This window comes from Homo sapiens, chromosome 17 (assembly GCF_000001405.40).
Source record: "Homo sapiens chromosome 17, GRCh38.p14 Primary Assembly".
Lineage (NCBI taxonomy): Eukaryota > Metazoa > Chordata > Mammalia > Primates > Hominidae > Homo > Homo sapiens.
Genome location: NC_000017.11, coordinates 28,663,108 through 28,683,228, shown reverse-complemented (window position 1 = coordinate 28,683,228; position 20,121 = coordinate 28,663,108). Strand labels below are relative to the sequence as shown.

Genomic DNA, 20,121 nt, shown 5'->3' with positions numbered 1-20,121 from the left:
CTGGGCCAGGCCCCAGGAGAAAAGACAGCCTTTCTGCTTTCAGACACACAGCTCAGTGAAGTGGAAGGCAAGAAACTCAGGCAATCAAAGAAAGAGCTGGTGCACATCTTGGATCAAAGCCCTTCACCCAGCTCACCTTTCTACCTTTCTTGGTGGGGGTTATATTTAACTTGGCTCTCTCTTGGAAGGTTTGCCTCAGCACCTGCCGGACAAGGGGCTCACGGGCAATCTGCAGGGCTACCATGTAGCGGGCGCCTTCTAGCACAGCTTCTGGAGTAGGGAACTGGCTGTGGGGAAAATGGTGCAGCTACAGGACCAGGGTGTTGTGGTCCTCAGGCCCCTCCTCCTGTCAGCCACCTGCTGCATGCCTACCTGCAAACGTAATCCTTGGCCAGCTCCAAGGGCTCCGCGGGAAACTGCTCTGTCTCGTGCCGCTGGTAGCTATCCCGCAGGTTCTCCCCAAACTGCTCGGGAGTAAGCCCAAACTTTTTGGCCAGGCCATCTAAAGCAAACAGAAGAGTGAAGGGTAAGGCAGCAGATAGGCTGATAAACCTCTTGGCTTTCAGAATCTGGAGTTGGAATTCTGGGAACTAGCCTTTTTTATTTTCCTGAGACGGTCTCGCTCTGTTGCCCAGGCTAAAGTGCAGTGGTGTGATCATGGCTCATTGAAGCCTTAACCACCTGGGCTCAGGTGATCCTCCCACTTCAGCTTTCCCGAGTAGCTGGGACTACAGGTGTGTCCCACCACTCCTGGCTAATTTTTTCTGTATTTTTTGTAGTTTTGCTACGTTGACCAGGCTGGCCTCCAAATCCTGGGCTCAAGTGATCCTCCCACCTTGACCTCCGAAGTGCTGGGATTACATGCGTGAGCCACTGTGCCCAGCTAGAGCACTGGAATTTAAAGAGGCCATAAATGAGCAGGACCAGGTAGTCAAAGAACAATGAAAAAACTGATTTTAAACACTTGATGGGCTGTTATAAGGCAGAAGAAACAGACAGACTGGACTCTCTCCCTCCAATCATGAGTTTCCCATTATCTCAGGAAATTAGGGAGAGGCTGAACCATCATGTCGGGCGGGAATGGGTTTGGAGAGGGAGTATTTTTAAAGACCAGCTAATAGGCTAGTTCAGGATTGGATTGGTGATTGACCCAGATAGCCTTTCTTTTTCCTACCTACCAGTCTTTTTTCTGGGTAACTCCCCTTGCTCAGGCTAGAATGCCTAAATCCCAAAGCAGCTAGCTTTTACCTAGCCCAGCACTCTGGCAGATGGTGTACATGTCTCGGCGAGAGGCTTGCTTGAGCTCAGGCCCCCTCTGCTCCTCATCTTCTGCCTCGTCACCTTCACCTGGGAAGAAAACATGGGGAGATTTAGGGTTCTAGTTTCCAATCACTCCCAAGGATCTGACACATTAGGAGAGAAGCCTCAAAGGGTACCCAGCCAAGGGCCTCCTTCAAGATGCCATGGGCTGTCAAGTCTCCTGGGTTTTCTTTCTTGATTTTTTTTTTTTTTTTTTGAGACACAGCCTCGGTTTGTTGCCCAGGCTGGTGTGCAGTGGCATGATCTCAACTCACTGCAACAACTGCCTCTAGGTTCAGGCATGCCTCAGCCTCCTGAGCAGTTGGGATTACCGGCATGTGCCACCTACCCTGGCTACTTTTGTATTTTTAGTAGAGATGGGGTTTTGCCATGTTGGCCAGGCTGGTCTCGAACTCCTGACCTCAGGTGATCCACCCACCTTAGCATCTGAAAATGCTGGGATTACATGCGTGAGCCATCATGCATGGCCATCAAATCTCCTGGATTTTCTTTTCCAGCACTAACCTTCTTCATCTCCCTCTTCCCTGACACGCTTCAGCTTCTTGCGGCTAGCTTTGGCGGCGTTCTGCATCTTAGGGATGTCTCGGCCATAATAAAGAAGAAAATGGTTGTAGACATCTTTCAGCTCATCCATTGATTGGACATCCTTGAGCCTGAAAAAGAAGAGACATAAGGTTTCAGTCATCACTGCAGAAAGGGTATATCCCAATTTGGCTACAAGAGGTCCAATTCCCAAAAGGCAGTATCCCAACTAAAATGGGATCCCAACCAGTTTTTTCCAATTATTATTACTATTGTTATTATTTTTCTGAGACAGGGTCTCACTCTGTTGCCCAGACTGGAGATGGGATGATCACTTGAACCCGGGCGGTTGAGGCTGCCGCGAACTGTGACCACACCACTGCTCTCCATCCTAGGCAACAGAAGAAAGACCATTTCTTTTTTTCTTTTTTAAAGACACATAGCTGGTGCAGTGGCTCATGCCTGTAATCCCAGCACTTTGGAAGGCCAAGGCGGAGGGATCGCGACGTCAGGAGATAGAGACCATCCTGGCTAACACGGTGAAACCCCGTCTCTACTAAAAATACAAAAAACTAGCAGGGTATAGTGGCAGGTGCCTGTAGTCCCAGCTACTTGGGAGGCTGAGGCAGATGGTATGAACCTGGGAGGTGGAGCTTGCAGTGAGCCAAGATCGTGCCACTGCGCTCCAACCTGGGCGACAGAGTGAGACTCCTCTCAAAACAAAAACAAAAACAAAAACAAAACCAAGACACATGATAGCCCTAGAACATATCGTATTTATTTATTTTTTTGAGATGGAGTCTTGCTCTTGTCACCCAGGCTGGAGTGTAATGGCGTGATTTCGGCTCACTGCAACCTCCACCTCCTGGGTTTAAGAGATTCTCCTGCCTCAGCCTCGCGAGCTGGGATCACAGGCACGCACCACCACACCCGACTAATTTTTGTATTTTTAGTAGAGACAGGGTTTCACCATGTTGGCCAGTCTGGTCTCAAACTCCTGACGTCAGGTGATCTGCCCACCTCAGCCTCCCAAAGTGCTGGGATTACAGGTGTGAGCCACCACGCCCAGCCTCTCTTCTTTTGAGATGGAGTTTTGCTCATCACCCAGGCTGGAGTGCAATGGCACGATCTCGGCTCATTGCAACCTCCACCTCCCAGGTTCAAGCGATTCTCCTGTCTCAGCCTCCTGAGTAGCTGGGATTACAGGTGCCTGCCACCACACCGAGCTAATTTTTTGTATTTTTAGTAGAGACGGGGTTTCACCATGTTGGCCAAGCTGGTCTTGAACTCCTGACCTCAGGTGATCTGCCCACCTCAGTCTTCCAAAGTGTTGGGATTACAGGCATGAGGCACTGCGCCTGGCCTCCTTTTTCTTTCTTTCTTTTTTTTTTTTTTTGAGATGGAGTCTAGCTCTGTCGCCCAGGCCTGGAGTGCAGTGGCACGATCTCGGCTCGCTGCAACCTCTGCATCCTAGATTCAAGCAATTCTCCTGCCTCAGCCTCCCGAGTAGCTGGAATTACAGGCGCCTGTCCCCACGCCCAGCTAATTTTTGTATTTTCAGTAAAGACAGGGTTTCACTGTGTTGGCCAGGCTGGTCTCGAACTCCTGACCTCATGACCCGCCCGCCCTGGCTTCCCAAAGTGCCAGGATTACAAGCGTTAGCCACCGTGCCAGGCCCCAGCCCCCTTTTTCTTATGAGACAGGATCGGCCGGGCGCAGTGGCTCATGCCTGTAATCCCAGCACTTTGGGAGGCCGAGGCGGGCAGATCACGAGGTCAGGAGATCAAGACCATCCTGGCTAACACACTGAAACCCTGTCTCTACTAAAAATACAAAAAAAAACCGGATCTTGCTCTTTCACTCAGTGTGGAGTATAGTGGCATAATCATAGCTCACTGCAACCTTGAATTCCTGGGCTGAAGTGATACTCTTGCCTCATCCTCCCAAGTAACTGGGACTACAGGCAGAAGCCACCACGCCTGGCTTTGACAAGCTATAATTCTTTTTTTTTTTTGAGACGAAGTCTCGCTCTGTTGCCCAGGCTGGAGAGCAGTGGCACGATCTCAGCTCACGGCAACCTCCGCCTCCCAGGTTCAAGCAATTCTCCTGCCTCAGCCTCCTGAGTAGCTGGGATTACAGGCGTGTGCCACTGCTCCCAGCTAATTTTTTGTATTTTTAGTAGAGATGGGGTTTCACCATGCTGGCCAAGCTGATCTTGAACTCCTGACCTCAAGTGATCTGCCCGCCTCGGCCTCCCAAATTGCTGGGATTACAGGCATGAGCCACTGTGCCTGGTTGACAAGTTGGATTTCTAAGGGATGGGGCCCTGTGCTACACATTCTCCAAGGTTTAACAGTGCTCCTGCAGGGCCAGCCTTGGGGTCTGAGGGCTTCCCATAATGGAATAAACACCGCATGTTTTACCTCTCCATGTCAGTGGTGTCCAGAGCCCGGATGCCATCAGCAAGAGGTTTGTCAGGGTCAGCAGAGATCTGTTCATACTGATAAGCCTGCATCTTCTCAAACAGCCGTGTTAGGTTCTCTTTACGGATCCGCAGCTGGGTCCACTAAGGTGAAGTAGGGCAGGAATGAGAGCTTGTGTTCAGCCCTGGAGACTCAAGGCTGCTCTGATCCTTACCAGAAACCTAGTGGGGGAGGACTAGACAGGCCTGGGGGGTTTGGGTTTGTGGTATCCTGGTAGTAATGGTGCCTTCCCTGGCCCACACCTCTTGGGGGCCACGGATCTACATTACCTTTTCATCCCACTGCCAGACTCTCCATAGGTCATTGATGTGCAACTCAGGCTCCACATACTCCTTTCGATAGAAGGCAATAAAAGGCACCTAGGATGGCAAAGAGACTGCAGTCACTCAGAGAAGACAGATTTGCTAAGATCCCCTCTGTCAGTAGATAATGACTTCCTGGAGAAACAGCTCCAGGAAATTCAACAGTCAGAAGCCTGGCCTCCCTCACAGCCCTTCCAGGGCCTGGTGCTTTCCTCAATAGGAGAAAATAAAGCTGCAGACAGGGTAGCATTGTTCTTACGATCACTAGGGTCTCTGCTGGTCCTAACACTTGTTGAGTCATGGATAGGGGATACGGGAAGGGGGCTCCCACCTCATTTAGGTAATTATCTTTTCCCTCATCCCCTAACTAAATTTCTCACCAATGGGCCACCAGAGCTTGAGGTGTTACCTCAAAATGCTGATTTCGCATGAAGCCCAGGGCCTCTTTGATCTTCTGAATTGTGCTGGGCCCTTTCCGACTGAAGCTGCTGGCTGGCTGCCCTCGGTCTAGGTAATCACAGCTTTCCTACAGTAGGAAAATAAAGAAATAGCAAGACAATGTTTACTTGGTTTGTCTTACCATACAAGACTGCTTAATAACAAAGGATAACCTTTCTAGATGAAATCTAAAAAATTTTTCTCATATACACACACTTGTTGGGACTACATACACACAGTTTTCTAATACCAGGCACACGGATGTATGAAATAGGGGAGGAAGAGCTCCCCATCTTGATGAAGTGTCTTTTGGTTCATGTCAAAACCTAAGGATCTTTTTTGTGTACCTGGAGAGAAATGGTTGGTGTGGCAAAAGCATTCCTGTAGATCCAGTCAGCTTCTTCTTCTAGTTCATCATCTTCAGCCCCCTTGACTGGGATGGAGCGGAGCTGGAGTGGATAAGACAACAGGGTGAGACGGACTTTATCTTGTGTCTCACTTAAGAAAAACATACCTTTTTGGACAGAAACGTGTGATCATCAAGTGCACATTTCCAGTATTGTTCTACAAATGCCATACCAGTGTTGTTCTGGCATGAAATAAGCATTTTTTTTTTTTGAGATGGTGTCTCACTCTTGTTGCTCAGGCTGGAACACAACGGCGCGATCTAGGGTCACTGCAACCTCCGCCTCCGGAGTTCAAATGATTCTCCTGCCTCAGCCTCCTGAGTAGCTAGGATCATAGGTGCCCGCCACCACGCCCAGCTGATTTTTTTTTTTTTGAGATGGAGTCTCGCTCTGTTGCCCAGGCTGGAGTGCAATGGCGCGATCTCAGCTCACTGTAACCTCCGCCTCCCAGGTTCAAGGAATTCTCCTGCCTCAACCTCCCAAGTAACTGGGATTACAGATGCATGCTGTCAACGCCCAGCTAATTTTTTTTTTTTTTTGTATTTTAGTAGAGACAGGGTTTTACCATGTTGCCCAGGCTGGCCTCTAACTCCTGAGCTCAGGCAATCCACCCACCTTGGCCTCCCAAAGTGCTAGGATTACAGGCGTGAGTCACCGTGCCTGGCCGCCCAGCTAATTTTTTACATTTTTAGTAAAGACGGGGTTTCACAATGTTGGCCAGGCTGGTCTCGAACTCCTGACCTCAGGTGATCCACCCACCTTGGCCTTCCAAAGTGCTGGGATTACAGGTGTGAACCACCGTGCCTGGCCATAAGCATTTCATGGTTTTTTTTTTTTGAGACAGGGTCTGCTTCTAGGCTGCAGTGCAGTGGTGCAATGATGGCTCACTGCAGCCGTGACCTCCCAAGTTCAAGCAATCTTCCCACCTCAGCCTCCTGAGTGGCTGAAACTACAGGTGTGCACCATCACAACCAGCTAGTTTTTTGTATTTTTTGTAGAGACAAGATCTCCCTATGTTGCCCAGGCTGGTCTTGAGTTCCTGGACTCAAGCAATCTGCCACCCTGGCCTCCTAAAGTGCTGGGATTATAGGTGTGAGCCACAGCACCCAGACTGCATTTCACAGATTTCTAAAGAAAACAGTATTTCTAGAACCGTAAGCAAGGTAGAGTCTATCTTCCCTTCTCTAAGAGCTGGATTTCCCAGGCCCCAGGTGAGATGAGGTTCAAACCTGTGCTGGATACTCAATGCCAGACTTTTGCTAGAATATTTCTTGGCTACAAGGTAATTATGGATTGGTAGAAGAGCAGAGGCTGGTGGTTTTTTACCTGGAACCTCTCAGGCAGGTCAGTGGCTCGGATTTCATTGTCCTGATCTGTGAGGTGGCTGCTTTCTAGCTCACTGGGCTCATACATTTCAAAGATGCTCCTACGGCTCACACGCTTCTTGGTGGTCTTCTTGGGGCGCACTCGGATTTCACCCTCAGCCTCATCATCCTCATACTCATACTCTTCCTCCAGTTCTTCATCATACTCATTGTATTTCTCAAATTCATCATAGTCAAAGTCCACACCGAAGATTTCCTGGGCTTCTTGCAGGGCCCTGTAGGTGGCAGCAAGAGGCAGGTGGCTCAGGTTCAGGTGAGAGGAGAGAAATGCAGCCCTTGCATAGATCCTTTACTTGTCCCAAGGGAACTGAGAGGGTTAGGAGGAAGGTAAACAAAATAACCATATTCACTGTGGACGAAAGGCTTCATTGGCGGATATTTCTGGGCAAACTATTGTATATGGAAGATTAAAAAGCTCATCTTTGGCACCTTCGAGTGACAGTAATCAAATAGCAACAGAGCAGACGGGTCTATGTCTTGCTCAGTGGACCCATCTTCTGCTAAGGCATTACAGTATTCCCTCAGGGCAAAAGCTTTCAAATTTGTAAATTGTGATGCGGGCATTTGTCTTCCAACAAAAATATATTAAGAATGTCAATATATATATAATTGAATAAACATGGAGCTGTAGGCGGAAGAGGAATGCTGGAGCCTTGCCCATGTGGGACTCTACTCCAATCCCACAGTAGTCCTAGAGTGCAGAGACAGCTCCCAGGGCTTCCGGGAGCAGTCTGAAATCACTGCCTGGTAGAGGTTATTTGAGGCAGGGAAGCAAAATGGCTGCAAGCTGGGAATGCCCCATTTTTGGCAAAGGCCTCTGATCTCCTCCTTCCTGACTGGGCCCACTCAATCACTTTATCCCCACCTTGTACCAGACCCCACTCACGCGTCTGTGTATCCAGGAAGCTTTTTCCGCCACTTAGGTTTTTTCAGAGGCTGTCCATCATCATCCACAATGAAGTCGTCAATATCTGGGTAGGAAAAGGATGGGTTGGGGCTCAGAGTCAGGGGCTGAGCCAGGACTAAATTGCTTTGGTTCCTACTATGTGAGTGGCCAGTGAGCAACAGAGAAGGGAAGCTCCTGAAAAGGAACTTCTTTGTGTCAAATGCTGGGGGATGTAGCTAAAGAATGGTTTCCATCCTGTTCCCATGGGCCAGGAAATCCCAATACCCATCCAAACACTGGCTTCCCTGCCCAATATAACATACCTGACTCCTCATCATCTTCTTCCTCCTCCTCTGGAGGAGCCATGGGGGCCTCCATGGCCTCCTGCCCTTCTTCCCCTTCCCCATCCTGGAAGATTTCTTCCGCAATAGCTTCTTTTTCATGTTCCTCCTTGCCATATTCCTCCTCGTCATCGTCCTCGTCATCTGACATTTTTTTGACACGCCGGTACTTTTGCTAGGGGTGGGAAAACCTGCCTTATCAGGATCTGAGGAGTCTGGCATACGGATACCAAATCTCCAGTCTCACTCCCTTCTTCCCACCACAATTACTCTGACCAAGAGAGATGGGAAAGAACATGCCGAGTGATGCTCTTGTAGCCTCAAAGCCCATCCTTGAAACTTGGACAAGACTTTCTCTAACAGGCACCCAGATCTGGGATGCAAATCTAGGCTCCGTAGTACAATGATACCGAACACCGTGCTCTAATGTTCTCCAAACTGTCCTGCGTGTGCCTCCTCACCCACAGACATTGAAATTTCCAGGGCTTTTTCCTTTACCCCCAGGGACAAAAGACAAAGAATGACACTTACTCCTCTTTTGACTTTGACACCCAAATTCTCCTCAATGAGGTCAAAATCATCATCCTCCAGGCGGTCATCAAAAGAGGCTGAAGAAACAAAGTGTTGCCCATGGTGATGGGGTTGCCCTTTTCCACTGCAACCTCCACCCAAGCCTCACTTGAGCCAACGACAGACTACTCACTGCGTTTTCTCTTCTTGTGGCCAACATCATCTTCTGAATCACCAGAGTCACTGCCCTCATCCTCCTCCCCTTCATCTTCATCATCATCGTCATTGATAAAGCCTTTCAAGTTGCCTTGCTCATCCTGATCATCTAGGTTCTCCTCCTCCTCCTCCTCATCTGGAAGACATGCATGTTTGAGGCATGGAGACTGAAAAACAGGCTAGAGGTTCAGGGTCACTTGATTAATGTGATTATCCATTTGCTCTGCACCTAATGACCTGGGTGCCATGTTAACTCTTCTGCCTCATGTAAAGATGCAAAACATAGCCATTGACTTAGAGTAGCAGCATCTGGAAAGAATGTTTTCTTCCCCTACATTCACCATCTGTCTTTGGGCAGGATGATCTTCCCCGTCACTTTGGCTTCTCAAAATCATTACTAGATTATTATAGCCACCAATAACTTTGTTTTACTCAGTTTGTAAACTCAGCAGCTATATTCCTTTTTTTTGCCATAATTCCTTTGATAAAACTTGTACGTCCCTTTACCCCTTTGAAGTCATTTCGTGGTTCTACTCTGTTGACAATTCTAAAGATTGGGCTTGGCCAGAGAAATAGGAAACGAGGTGAATAAATATCAACAATGCTAGGTCTAAAAGCAGAAAGTATTATATACAGACTTATCTACTGATTTATTATCAACCACCCCCCAACTAAAGTAAACTCCACAATAGCTGGATATTTATTGTTTTATATTTCTAGTTCCAGGCCTAGTGCCTGGCATACAGACAGATGCTCAGTTAGTATCTGCTAAGAATGACTGAAAGTTCTCAAGCTGGTACCTCATGTGTGATAACTTCTGTGCTGAGCCTGAGCTTTTCATCAGCAAGAATCCAACTATCCAAAGCTTAGCAATAGTGGGGAGAAGCTTGAGGCTGGGGCCTCCTCACCATCATCCTCCTCTTCCACAAATTTCTTGGTGACTCGGGGTACCACCTCGCCTTCATCATTGTATTCTTCCTCTGACTCCTCAGCCTCGCTTTCCACAAAATCAGACATTGCTGCAGCTTCTCACTCTGCCTGAAGATAACTAGGGAAAGAAAAGAGTGAAGGATAAAAAAACGGACACATGATTGTACAGAGGGCTCTTAAACCTTCCCACAAACAGCCTTTTAGCAACCTGCCACTGCTCTGCCCACTCAACATTCCCACTTGGGGAGAAGAAAAGAAGAATCTGATGGTTCCAACTCTTCCATTATCCATTCCTCCCAGCATTGCTTCTCTCATATGTACTTTTTTTTTTTTTTTTTGAGGTGGCGTCTCACTCTCTCACCCAGGCTGGAGTACAGTGGCGCAATCTCCGTTCACTGCAACCTCCACCTCCTGGGTTCAAGTGATTCTCCTGCCTTAGCCTCCCGAGTAGCTGGGATTATAGGCATGCGCCACCATGCCTGGCTAATTTTTGTACTCTTAGAAGAGATGTGGTTTCAACACGTTGGCCAGGCTGGTCTTGAACTTCTGAACTCAGGTGATCTGCCCACCTTGGCCTCCCAAGGTGCTGGGATTACAGGCGTGAGCCACCGCACCCGGCCTCATACGTACTTTCAAAAAGAAGGCAAAAGCCAGGCTACTCAGGAGGCTGAGGCAGGAGAATCTCTTGAATCCGGAAGGTGGAGGTTGCAGATTGCGCCACTGCATTCCAGCCTGGCGAGAGAGTGAGACTCTGTCTTAAAAAAAAAAGCCATTAGGCCAGGCGTGGTAGCTCACTCCTATAACCCCAGCACTTAGGGAGGCCAAGGCAGGTGGATCACCTGAGGTCAGGAGTTCGAGACCAGCTTGGCCAACATGGTGAAACCCCGTCTCTACTAAAAATACAAAAATTATCCGGGTATGGTGGCAGGTGCCTGTAATCCCAGTTACTCTGGAGGCTTAGGCAGGAGAATGGTTTGACCCCGGGAGGTGGAGGTTGCAGTGAGCTGAGATTGCACCACTGCACTCCAGCCTGGGCAACAAGAGCAAAATCTGCCTCGAAAAAAAAGAAAAAAAAAGAAAAGAAAAAAAGAAAAAGAAGGCAATTATACCAGACTTGTATATGTATCATCTCTCTTCCCCAAAGTTTTACCTCACTTACCATTTGAAGACAGGAATGGGCAAATGAGGAAAGAAACTAATGTAGGGACAATTAAGTGGGGATATGGTGGTAGAGTGAGATTATGTGATCTGCTTCTAGGAGGCTTGGAAACAATAAGTGCCAACTTTATAAAAGGTGCTTTCATATGTTTACATACACTATTCATACTTATTAGCAAAGTCAAAAGCAAAATCTCTTTTCAATAGATTAAACACACAAATACTTCATGAACTTGAGCCAATTTGTGTGAGTACTGGTTGGGAGCATTTGGGTCCAAAAAGGGCCTAGTTTTATCATTTACTCCCCTTGCAGGCAAAAAATCTTGAAAGGCTTCCATGTCCTACAAAATAAATGCAACATGGTTAAATGGAAAGACTGCTGGGCTCAAGAGTAGAAATCAAATCCTGGTTTCATACCCTACGGGCTAAACATAAACTTAAGCAAATTATTGGACATGCCTGAATATCACTTTCTTAACCTGGAAAATGGTAATAGCGCTACCTACCTTACAGGATAGTTGAGAATATTACATGACATAGGGGAAAGAACCTATTGTTTCAAGATGGGTTAACCTGAGTTTGAATTTGAATCCTGAGCCTAATTTTCCTTAGCATTCTGTAATTCTGTACCAACCAACCCCAACTTTATCTTCTACTTCCCTGCTTTCAGACTCATCCAAAGCCTGGAAACGACAGTAGGGATCTTCAAGAACCGTAACATGGAGCTTGATGGGCCTTGAGTAGGACTTAAAAAACAGCACACATCATCACAACAAGATTCCATTGTGGAACCCTAAAGCTGGCTGCTGACACACTCAGCATCACTCCTCACCCCATCCAGTAAAATGGTCTATGGGATATATCCCATGTACCTTTCTCTCACTTAGACTACAAGCTTCTGGAAGATAAAGAACATATCCAATAGAGAGACTAATAAAAATCATGAAAACATAAATGGCAATACAAGAGGCATTACAAGGCACTCTGTGATTCTGCACCAGAAAAGCTATATCCCTTCAGGTGTGCTGCAACACATTAGCAACAAATTAGCTGCTAACAAATTAGCAACTGTTAAGTGTCTGTTAAATAAACTACTTACGTTTTCATATTGCTGCCATCTTCCCAGTTAAAGATGGCAGTGGGAGGGGAGAGAAGAGAAGGGTGGCTAATGGCTACCTGAAGGTGCCTTAAGTTCTGTGGCTCTAATTCTCCTCAAAATTGCCCTTACGGAGCTCAATCAATACTATAACCAATGAACTTGAGATTAACTAAACTCAAGAAAACAAAACTGAAGGTATAGGAGGGAGGGGGAATGTTCAATTTTCGGTTGAGGTTTCAGATGCCATTCTTTCCACAAACCTAACTGAATGCCTACAATGTACATATACTCTGCTAAGAGCTGGGGATTTGAAGAGAATTGTTCATTTTCTTTCTTTTTTTTTTTTGAGATGGAGTTTCGCTCTTGTTGCCCAGGCTGGAGTGCAATGGCGTGATCTCGGCTCACCGCAACCTCCACCTCCTGGGTTCAAGCGATTCTCCTGCCTCAGCCTCCCGAGTAGCTGGGATTACAGGCATGCACCACCATGCTGGCTAATTTTGCATTTTTAGTAGAGAGGGGGTTTCTCCATGTTGGTCAGGCTGGTCTTGAACTCCTGACCTCAGGTGATCTGCCCGCCTCGGCCTCCCAAAGTGCTGGGATTTACAGGCGTGAGCCACCGCGCCTGGCCGGATTGTTCATTTTCAAGGAGTTGAATGTCTCCTAGAGATAGAAATATGAAAATAAGGACCATAAAATCGTTTTATATATTACAATAGACACACAGAACAGGCACAGGAAGAGAACTGGACAATAAACTCACAACACACACACAAAACCCAATCAAAATAATATGGGTCTCTCTTGGGTATTTTAAGCAATTTTTTAAAAAGTACCCTGAGGAATAATGCTTATTACACACCTACCAAGTGCCAGACACTAACAAATACCCTACTATTTTATGTCCCTATCAAGGAGAACAAGTATTCTATTAATCCCTACACTGTCCTATGAGTTACAGCACACTTCTCTCTCAACAGAGGAGGAAACAGACTCAGAGAGATGTAGTCATTTGTTCAAGGTGACAAAACTATCATCTGTAAGTGCTGAGGTCTGTCTGACTCTTCATGGTTGACAGTACCACATCTATCAATAGTTTTCAGGGCGTGGTCCAGGGGCCAGTCCCTCTGTTCTCTCAGGAGCATAGAGTGGAGTTTTCCAGAGGTTATAGGACATGTGGTTATCACAACAGACTGAATGCAAAAACATATGAGAACACAGCTGTATTCTGTTAGAGCAGACATTAAAACATTGTACTAAAAAACAAAGAATGTCATTCTTACTTAATTTACTTATTTTGAGACAGAGTCTTACTCTCTCACCCAGGATGAAGTGCAATGGCACGATCCTGGCTCGCTGCAACCTCCGCCTCCTGGGTTCAAGCGATTCTCTTGCCTCAGCCTCCCGAGTAGGTGGGACTACAGGCGCTCGCCACCACGTCTAGCTAATTTTTGTTTTTTTTAGTAGAGATGGGGTTTGGCCATATTGGCCAGGCTGGTCTCGAACTCCTGACCTCAAGTGATCCACCTGCCTTGGCCTCCCAAAGTGCTGGGACTACAGGCGTGAGCCACCACGCCCGGCTATTCATTTATTTTTTAAGACAAAGTTTCACCATGTTAGCCAGGCTGGTTTCGAACTCCTGAGCTCAAGTGATCCACCTGCCTCGACCTTCCAAAGTTCTGGGATTACAGGAGTGAGCCACCACACCCAGTCCATTCTTACTAAAATGTTTTGTTTTAAAAACTATTATTATTCGGCCGAGTGCTGTGGCTCATGCCTGTAACCCCAGGCCGAGGCAGGCCGATCACCTGAGGTCAGCAGTTTGAGACCAGCCTGGCCAACATGGTGAAACTCTGCCTCCACTAAAAATGAAAAATTAGCTGGGTATGGTGGCAGGCGCCTGTAGTCCCAGCTATTCAGGAGGCTGAAGCAGGAGAATTGCTTGAACCTGGAAGGCAGAGGTTGCAGTGAGCCAAGATGGTGCTACTGCACCGACAGTGAGACTCCGTCTCAAAACAAACAAACAAACAAAAAAACCCAAAAAACTACTGTTATTCATAAAAAGTATTATTGTTTACTACTTTAAAATAAATCAATAAATATTTTTAAATGTCTCACTGAGTTTTAATTTCGAATCTGGTAAATATCAAAGGATATAACTCACATAAACAAAATGTCTTTGAAGTCCTAAATAAGTTTTAAGAGTATAAAGGGGTCCTGAGTCCAAAAAGTTGAGGAGTGACTGTAAAGACCCTAAAGAGATGCGGTATAGTAAGCCTAGGGGTTAGGGTGATGCTCCCCCATGACCCCAAGATCTCTATCCTTAAGGTCATTTAGCTTGAGCACTGCCAAAAGTGAAAGTCTTAAACTTCTGCCAATTAAATCTAGAGCTCTAATTTTAATTTTGACATTGCTCCCCCTCAGCCCTGAACTGAGCCATTAAAAACAGATTTGAGTACGGCAGCCCCCACACATAGCTTGTTCTAATTAGGCTATCAGACCCACAAGTTCAATCTTTTAAGGCCTCAACATCTTCAAATTAAATGCCAGCTCCTGCAGACCAGATGCCCCTCAGCCTACTTAACAGAGAAACACACAGCCTACCTGATGAAAACAACAGCTTTCTTCTGTCTCAAGGGCAGCTGGTGCTCCATGCTGCACACAGCTTGGAAAGATAGCTGTGTTCTCTTTCTTCCCATCGCCTAGGTTAGCAATAAAGCACACACTATGCTATAGCTGGGGAATGCCTCCAATCTAGCTCAATACCAAGACTTCCAGTTATAAGAGGTGTGCCAGAAGCAATTCTGACTTGCTGCAACTTGCAGGAGCTAGATGTGCAGACTGCAGTAGCACTGCAGTCTGAGACTGACAAGCGGGAACTACTCTAGAATAAAGACACTAATGTATTTATTTGTGTATGATTATTATTAATACATGGTATCTATGATGAGCCTGATGTAGTTTGGATGTTGTATTTAGCACTTATGCTCTTAAAATTTTCCCCATACTCACACTGTAAGTTAAATTTGCAACTGGAATAGGTCTAGAAGGGCAGTGGGGAGATGGAGGGAGAGGTTTCTCTAGTCAGAAGCACAGCTGCAGAACAAGATGTGGCTCAATGGGAGAGGCTGGTGGTTACCATGACATTCGCTGGAAGAGGAATGGAACTGGGATCAGATTGCCACAAGGGAGGCCCTCTGCAGTCCCTCCCTTTGAACAAGAAGTTGTAGTAGGCAATTAAGAGGAGACCAGAGTGAAAAGAGATCTAGTCTGTTAATTCCTTCCACTTTGCAGCTTCAATTAACATTTGCTGGGTTTTTTTTTTTTAGAGTCAAGCTCTGTGCTGGGACTTGTGTATATAAAAATGAGTAAAATATGCTTCCTACCCCGGTGGAGTTCACAGTCTTGGTGGAGTTCACAATCTATCTCAAAAAACTTGTTAATAACGTTATGACAAAGCACAATAGGGTTATGTTAAGTTATATAACTGGACTATGAGAGCAATGGGAAGGTTGGGGAATATCTGAGAAAAGGTGATGCCTGAATAAAAGAGGATTTAAGAAAACAGTCTGGAAAAAGGCAACATGAGCAAACATTTAGGCGTGGTGCTCTGGAGAACAGCCCCAGAAGTCTAGGGTGGAGTTTAAGCTACAAGACATTCCATGTTGTCTTGTATCATATATACATATATATATATAAAACACACACACACACACGTATTTATATATATATACACATATACATATATACACACACATATATACACATATACATACATATGTATACACACACACATACATATATATATATATATATATATATATATATACACACACACACTTTTTTTTTTTTTTTTTTTTTTTTGAGACGGAGTCTTGCTCAGTTACCCAGGCTGGAGTGCAGTGGCATGATCTGGGCTCACTGCAAGCTCCGCCTCCTGGGGTCACGCCATTCTCCTGCCTCAACCTCCCAAGCAGCTGGGACTACAGGTGCCCACCACCACGCCCAGCTATTTTTTTTTTTTTGTATTTTTAGTAGAGACGGGGTTTCACCGTGTTAGCCAGGATAGTCTCAATCTCCTGACCTTGTGATCCGCCCGTCTCAGCCTCTCATAGTGCTGGGATTACACTTGTATCCTATATTTTATGGGCAAGGGACTAGGACTATTCCAAAGGTATCCATAAGTGAATATCCAATTTGGAATTTCAAAACCTAAAAGTTTAATAGATAAAAGTATTTAGAGTCTACTTAAGTCCTTTTAAATCTGGAATTCAGAAGGCTTTGTAATTAAAAAAACCCTGAAAACCTAATTACATGAAGTCAAGATGTTAAAATACAGAAAAAGTTAATTTTGTTCATTTAAAAATATTATTTATTCGGCTGGGCGCGGTGGCTCACGCCTATAATGCCAGCACTTTGGGAGGCTGAGGCAGGCTGATCACTTCAGGTCAGGTCAGACGCTCGAGACCAGCCTGGCCAGCATGATGAAACCCTGTCTCCACTAAAAATACAAAAATTAGCCGGGTGTGGTGGTGCACGCCTGTAATCCCAGCTACTCAGGAGGCTGAGGCAGGAGAATCGCTTGAACGTGGGAGTCAGAGCTTGCAGTGAGTCGAGATCATGCCATTGCACTCCAGCCAAGGTGACAGAGCGAGACTCCGTCTCAAAAAAAAAAAAAAAAAAAGTATTCCTTTTCTTTCCACATTTCTTTAGAGAAACAGGGTAAGGGCTAAAGAAGAGTACAACTGAAATATGTAACCAGATTCAGAACCCCTGCAACACAAAGAGAGATTAACAGTTACTGAACCTTGTGGTACACACATTGAGGAGCGCATAGTTCCTGCTCTAGCACAGGGGTTGGCAAACCTTTCCTTTTCTCTATAGGGCCAAATCTGCCACTGTAGCACAGCATACATAACATGTAAATGAATGGGGGTGACCTTATTTGGCTCACAGGCCTTAGTTTGTGACCCCTGATTTAGAGAATTGATGATAAGAATAGCATGGGATCCTGTAATAAGACAACCTAACCTGGTTTTGAGGAAGTGACTTTAAACAAAGACCTTAAGAGTAAGGAGGAATTAGTTCAGCAGAGGAGCTGGCTTCTTTGGAGATGGTTTGGGGAGTGATGTCAGAGACGTGTGCTTCTAGCACAACACGTGTACTGTGGCAGGTACAGAGAAGGCCCAGGAGAGGAAGAATGGTTCATAAGGGTTGGAGAAGTCATAAGGATCTAGGCACTGGGAAGCCATTGCAGGGTTTTAAATGTAGAACTGAACTTAATCTACTTGCTAATCCAACAAAAACTTATTATTTTCTGAGATGGGGTCCTGCTCTGTCACCCAGACTGGAGTGCAGTGGTGTGATTACATCTCACTGCAGCCTCCACCTCCTGGGCTCAAGCCATAATCTCACCTCAGCCTCCCAGGTAGCTAGGACAAATACATATACATATACATATACGTTTTTTTGAGACAGAGTCTCGCTCCATTGCCCAGGCTTGGAGTGTAGTGGCACGATCTCAGCTCACTGCAACCTCCGCCTCCCAGGTTCAAGCAATTCTCCTGCCTCAGCCTCCCAAGTAGCTGGGATTACAGGCACCCACCACCACGTCCAGCTAATTTTTTCTTTGTATCTTTAACAGAGACGGGGTTTCACCATGTTGGCCAGCCTGGGCTCGAGCTCCTGACCTCAGGTGATCCGCCTGCCTCAGCCTCCCAAAGTGTTGGGATTATAGGCGTGAACCACCATGCCTGGCATAAATATGTATTTAATGAGTGCCTACCACATGCCAGGCACGTACAAGACTAGGTCCATGCCCCTAGGATGCCCGTATTCTGGTGCAGGAGACATATTGGCAACAAATAAAATAAACCTTGCTCTAAAAGCGAAGAAGGAAATGCATATTCTCATCTCATCTAAAGTGAGTTTACTTAGGCTGAGATGTCAATAGGTAGGATATGACCTGTAGAAGTAGGAGGAGAGGTTCCAGTAGAGAAAGTGGGCAAGAACATGGTATATAATAGGTGATGTCCTGAGGCTGATGGCACTAGAGCATGGTGAAGGCAGCAGCCTATGAGGGAGAGGTATGCTCAAGCAGGGCGTAAAGGCCATGGAAAGTCACTGGAGAGTTTTAAGTAGGGAAATGACATGATCTGCCCTGATCCAATTCTGTTACATGGAAAATGAACTGGAGGAAGATCTGAGTGGAAACCAGGGAAAACTGAAGATACTGTTGTGGTAGCCCAGGCAAAAGATGGTGGTGGCTTGGAATAAGGTGGTAAAAGTGAAGATGGAGAATAGAAGACAGATTACAAAAACATTCTGCAAGTGGAAGTGACAAGACTTACTGAAAGACTGGGGAAGAGGAGTAGTAAAGGAGAAGAACAAAGATGATTCTCAGAGGTCTATCTTTGGTAACCCTGCGGATAGGAGCACCACTCAGTGAAACGGGAGGATAAGGTTTGCAATGATGAGAAAACCAAAACTTTCTTTTGGTTATGTTAGCTTTGGGTGCCTAAGAAATATCCAAATGGAGATAATTAAACAGGCATTTTTGACGCGTGATTCTGCAACATAGAGGAGAGGGCTGGACTAGAGATTTAAACTTTGGAGTTGCCAACTTTCAGGTGGTAATTAAAGCCATGGGGCTGGGTTACCTAAAGGGAAGCATGTAGAAGGCTCGGGATTCCTGTGAGAATTCCAACATATGTAGATATACATATATTTTGAGACGGAGTTTTGTTCTGTTGCCCATGCTGGAGTGCAGTGGCATGATCTCTGCTCACTGCACCTCTGCCTCCCTGGTTCAAGTGATTCTCCTGCCTCAGCCTCCCAAGTAGCTGGGATTACAGGCGTGTCGCCACGCCCGGCTAGTTTTTGTATTTTTAGTAGAGATGGGGTTTCACCATGCTGGCCAGGCTGGTTGTGAACTCCTGACCTCAAGTGATCTGCCCACCTCGACCTCCCAAAGTGCTGGGATTATAGGCATGAGCCACTGCGACCAGCCCCAGCATTTAGACATTAGATAGAGAGCAAAAGTTGCTAGCAAATGAGACTCAGAAGGAACAGCCGGAGAAATGGAGAAAATCCAAGAGTGAAATGTCAATAAAGCCAAGATGAAAGTTTGGAGGCAGGAGTAACTATGTTGAATATTGCAGAGACAGAGGAATATGAGAACAAAGTATCCATTGGATTTGGCAACATAGAAGTCACTGGTGACCTTGATAAGAGCAACTTCAATGGAGTGGGCAAAGTAGATGTGGTGGCACTTGATTACTAGAAGCTGCCTCAGGAGGACTGCTTGAGCTCAGGAGTTCCAGGTGGCAGTGAGCTATGATGGGGCCACTGCACTCCAACCTGGGCAACAGAGCAAGACCCTGTCTCCACAAAAAAAAAAAAAAAAATGGAGTGGGCAGAAGAGAAGCCAGATTGGTATAAAATGAAGAGTGAATGAAAGTTGAGAAAGCTGAGTTGGTACAGGTAGAAATCTATGAATGGAAATTTAAAAAATTGGCATGGTAATTGGAGAGGGATGTGAAGGATACCAGAACATAATTTGTATGCTGATGGGAACAGTTTCAGGGAGAGACAGGATTTGGTGACTGATTTTATTGGGAAATAGTGGACAGGAAGGAAGACAAGGATTACAGGCAGGACTGATGGTAGTGCCATTTATTAAGGTCAAGAATATAGAATCAGGGCAAACGTATTTGCCTACAAAGATCATGTTTCCACCACACTAGGTAGGCTTTCAGAGGAAGAACTGTAAAATTTGACTAAGCCTCTCCAGACGGTACCACTTTCTGATGTAATTAATCTCCTGATGAAGTTAAAACCTCCTAGAGTTGCAAGGCTATGCTAATCCAATCTAGCAGCCACACAAGCCAAGTGAATAAAAATGTACTTGTACTGGTGAAAGGGACATTACTCGTAAAAAAGGGCTCTAAATTCACAGCTGATGGAAGAGCAGTTATGTTTCTGTAATCAAAACACTGAAGACTTACAAACTGGTAACTTCCAGATAAACAGTGGAACCAGACATTTTTCCGAAGAAATTAATCAAATTCAATATTGTTTACACTCCCTAATGCTCATTAATGATGTAGCTTCATACACCCTTGTTAC

The 20,121-nt window shown here is 46.0% G+C and overlaps 1 protein-coding gene across 15 annotated transcripts in view; it reads right to left on the bottom strand.

Annotated features, from left to right (window-relative positions):
* Positions 1-20,121, bottom strand: part of SUPT6H (SPT6 homolog, histone chaperone and transcription elongation factor) — a 40,475-nt gene that overhangs the window by 19,451 nt on the left and 903 nt on the right. For 4 of the 15 annotated variants that reach the window (XM_047436596.1, NM_003170.5, XM_047436606.1 and 1 more), the window contains 14 exons: positions 9,719-9,858; positions 8,788-8,946; positions 8,616-8,692; positions 8,067-8,259; positions 7,744-7,828; positions 6,799-7,072; positions 5,413-5,514; positions 5,037-5,153; positions 4,595-4,684; positions 4,266-4,408; positions 1,825-1,973; positions 1,249-1,347; positions 373-502; positions 137-287 (listed from right to left, as the gene is read on the bottom strand). In XM_047436596.1, the coding sequence (XP_047292552.1) occupies positions 137-287; positions 373-502; positions 1,249-1,347; positions 1,825-1,973; positions 4,266-4,408; positions 4,595-4,684; positions 5,037-5,153; positions 5,413-5,514; positions 6,799-7,072; positions 7,744-7,828; positions 8,067-8,259; positions 8,616-8,692; positions 8,788-8,946; positions 9,719-9,827 (1,878 nt within the window). In that variant the 5' untranslated portion in view covers positions 9,828-9,858. The other 11 variants (XM_047436604.1, XM_047436601.1, XM_047436599.1 and 8 more) reach the window with 11 other exon arrangements.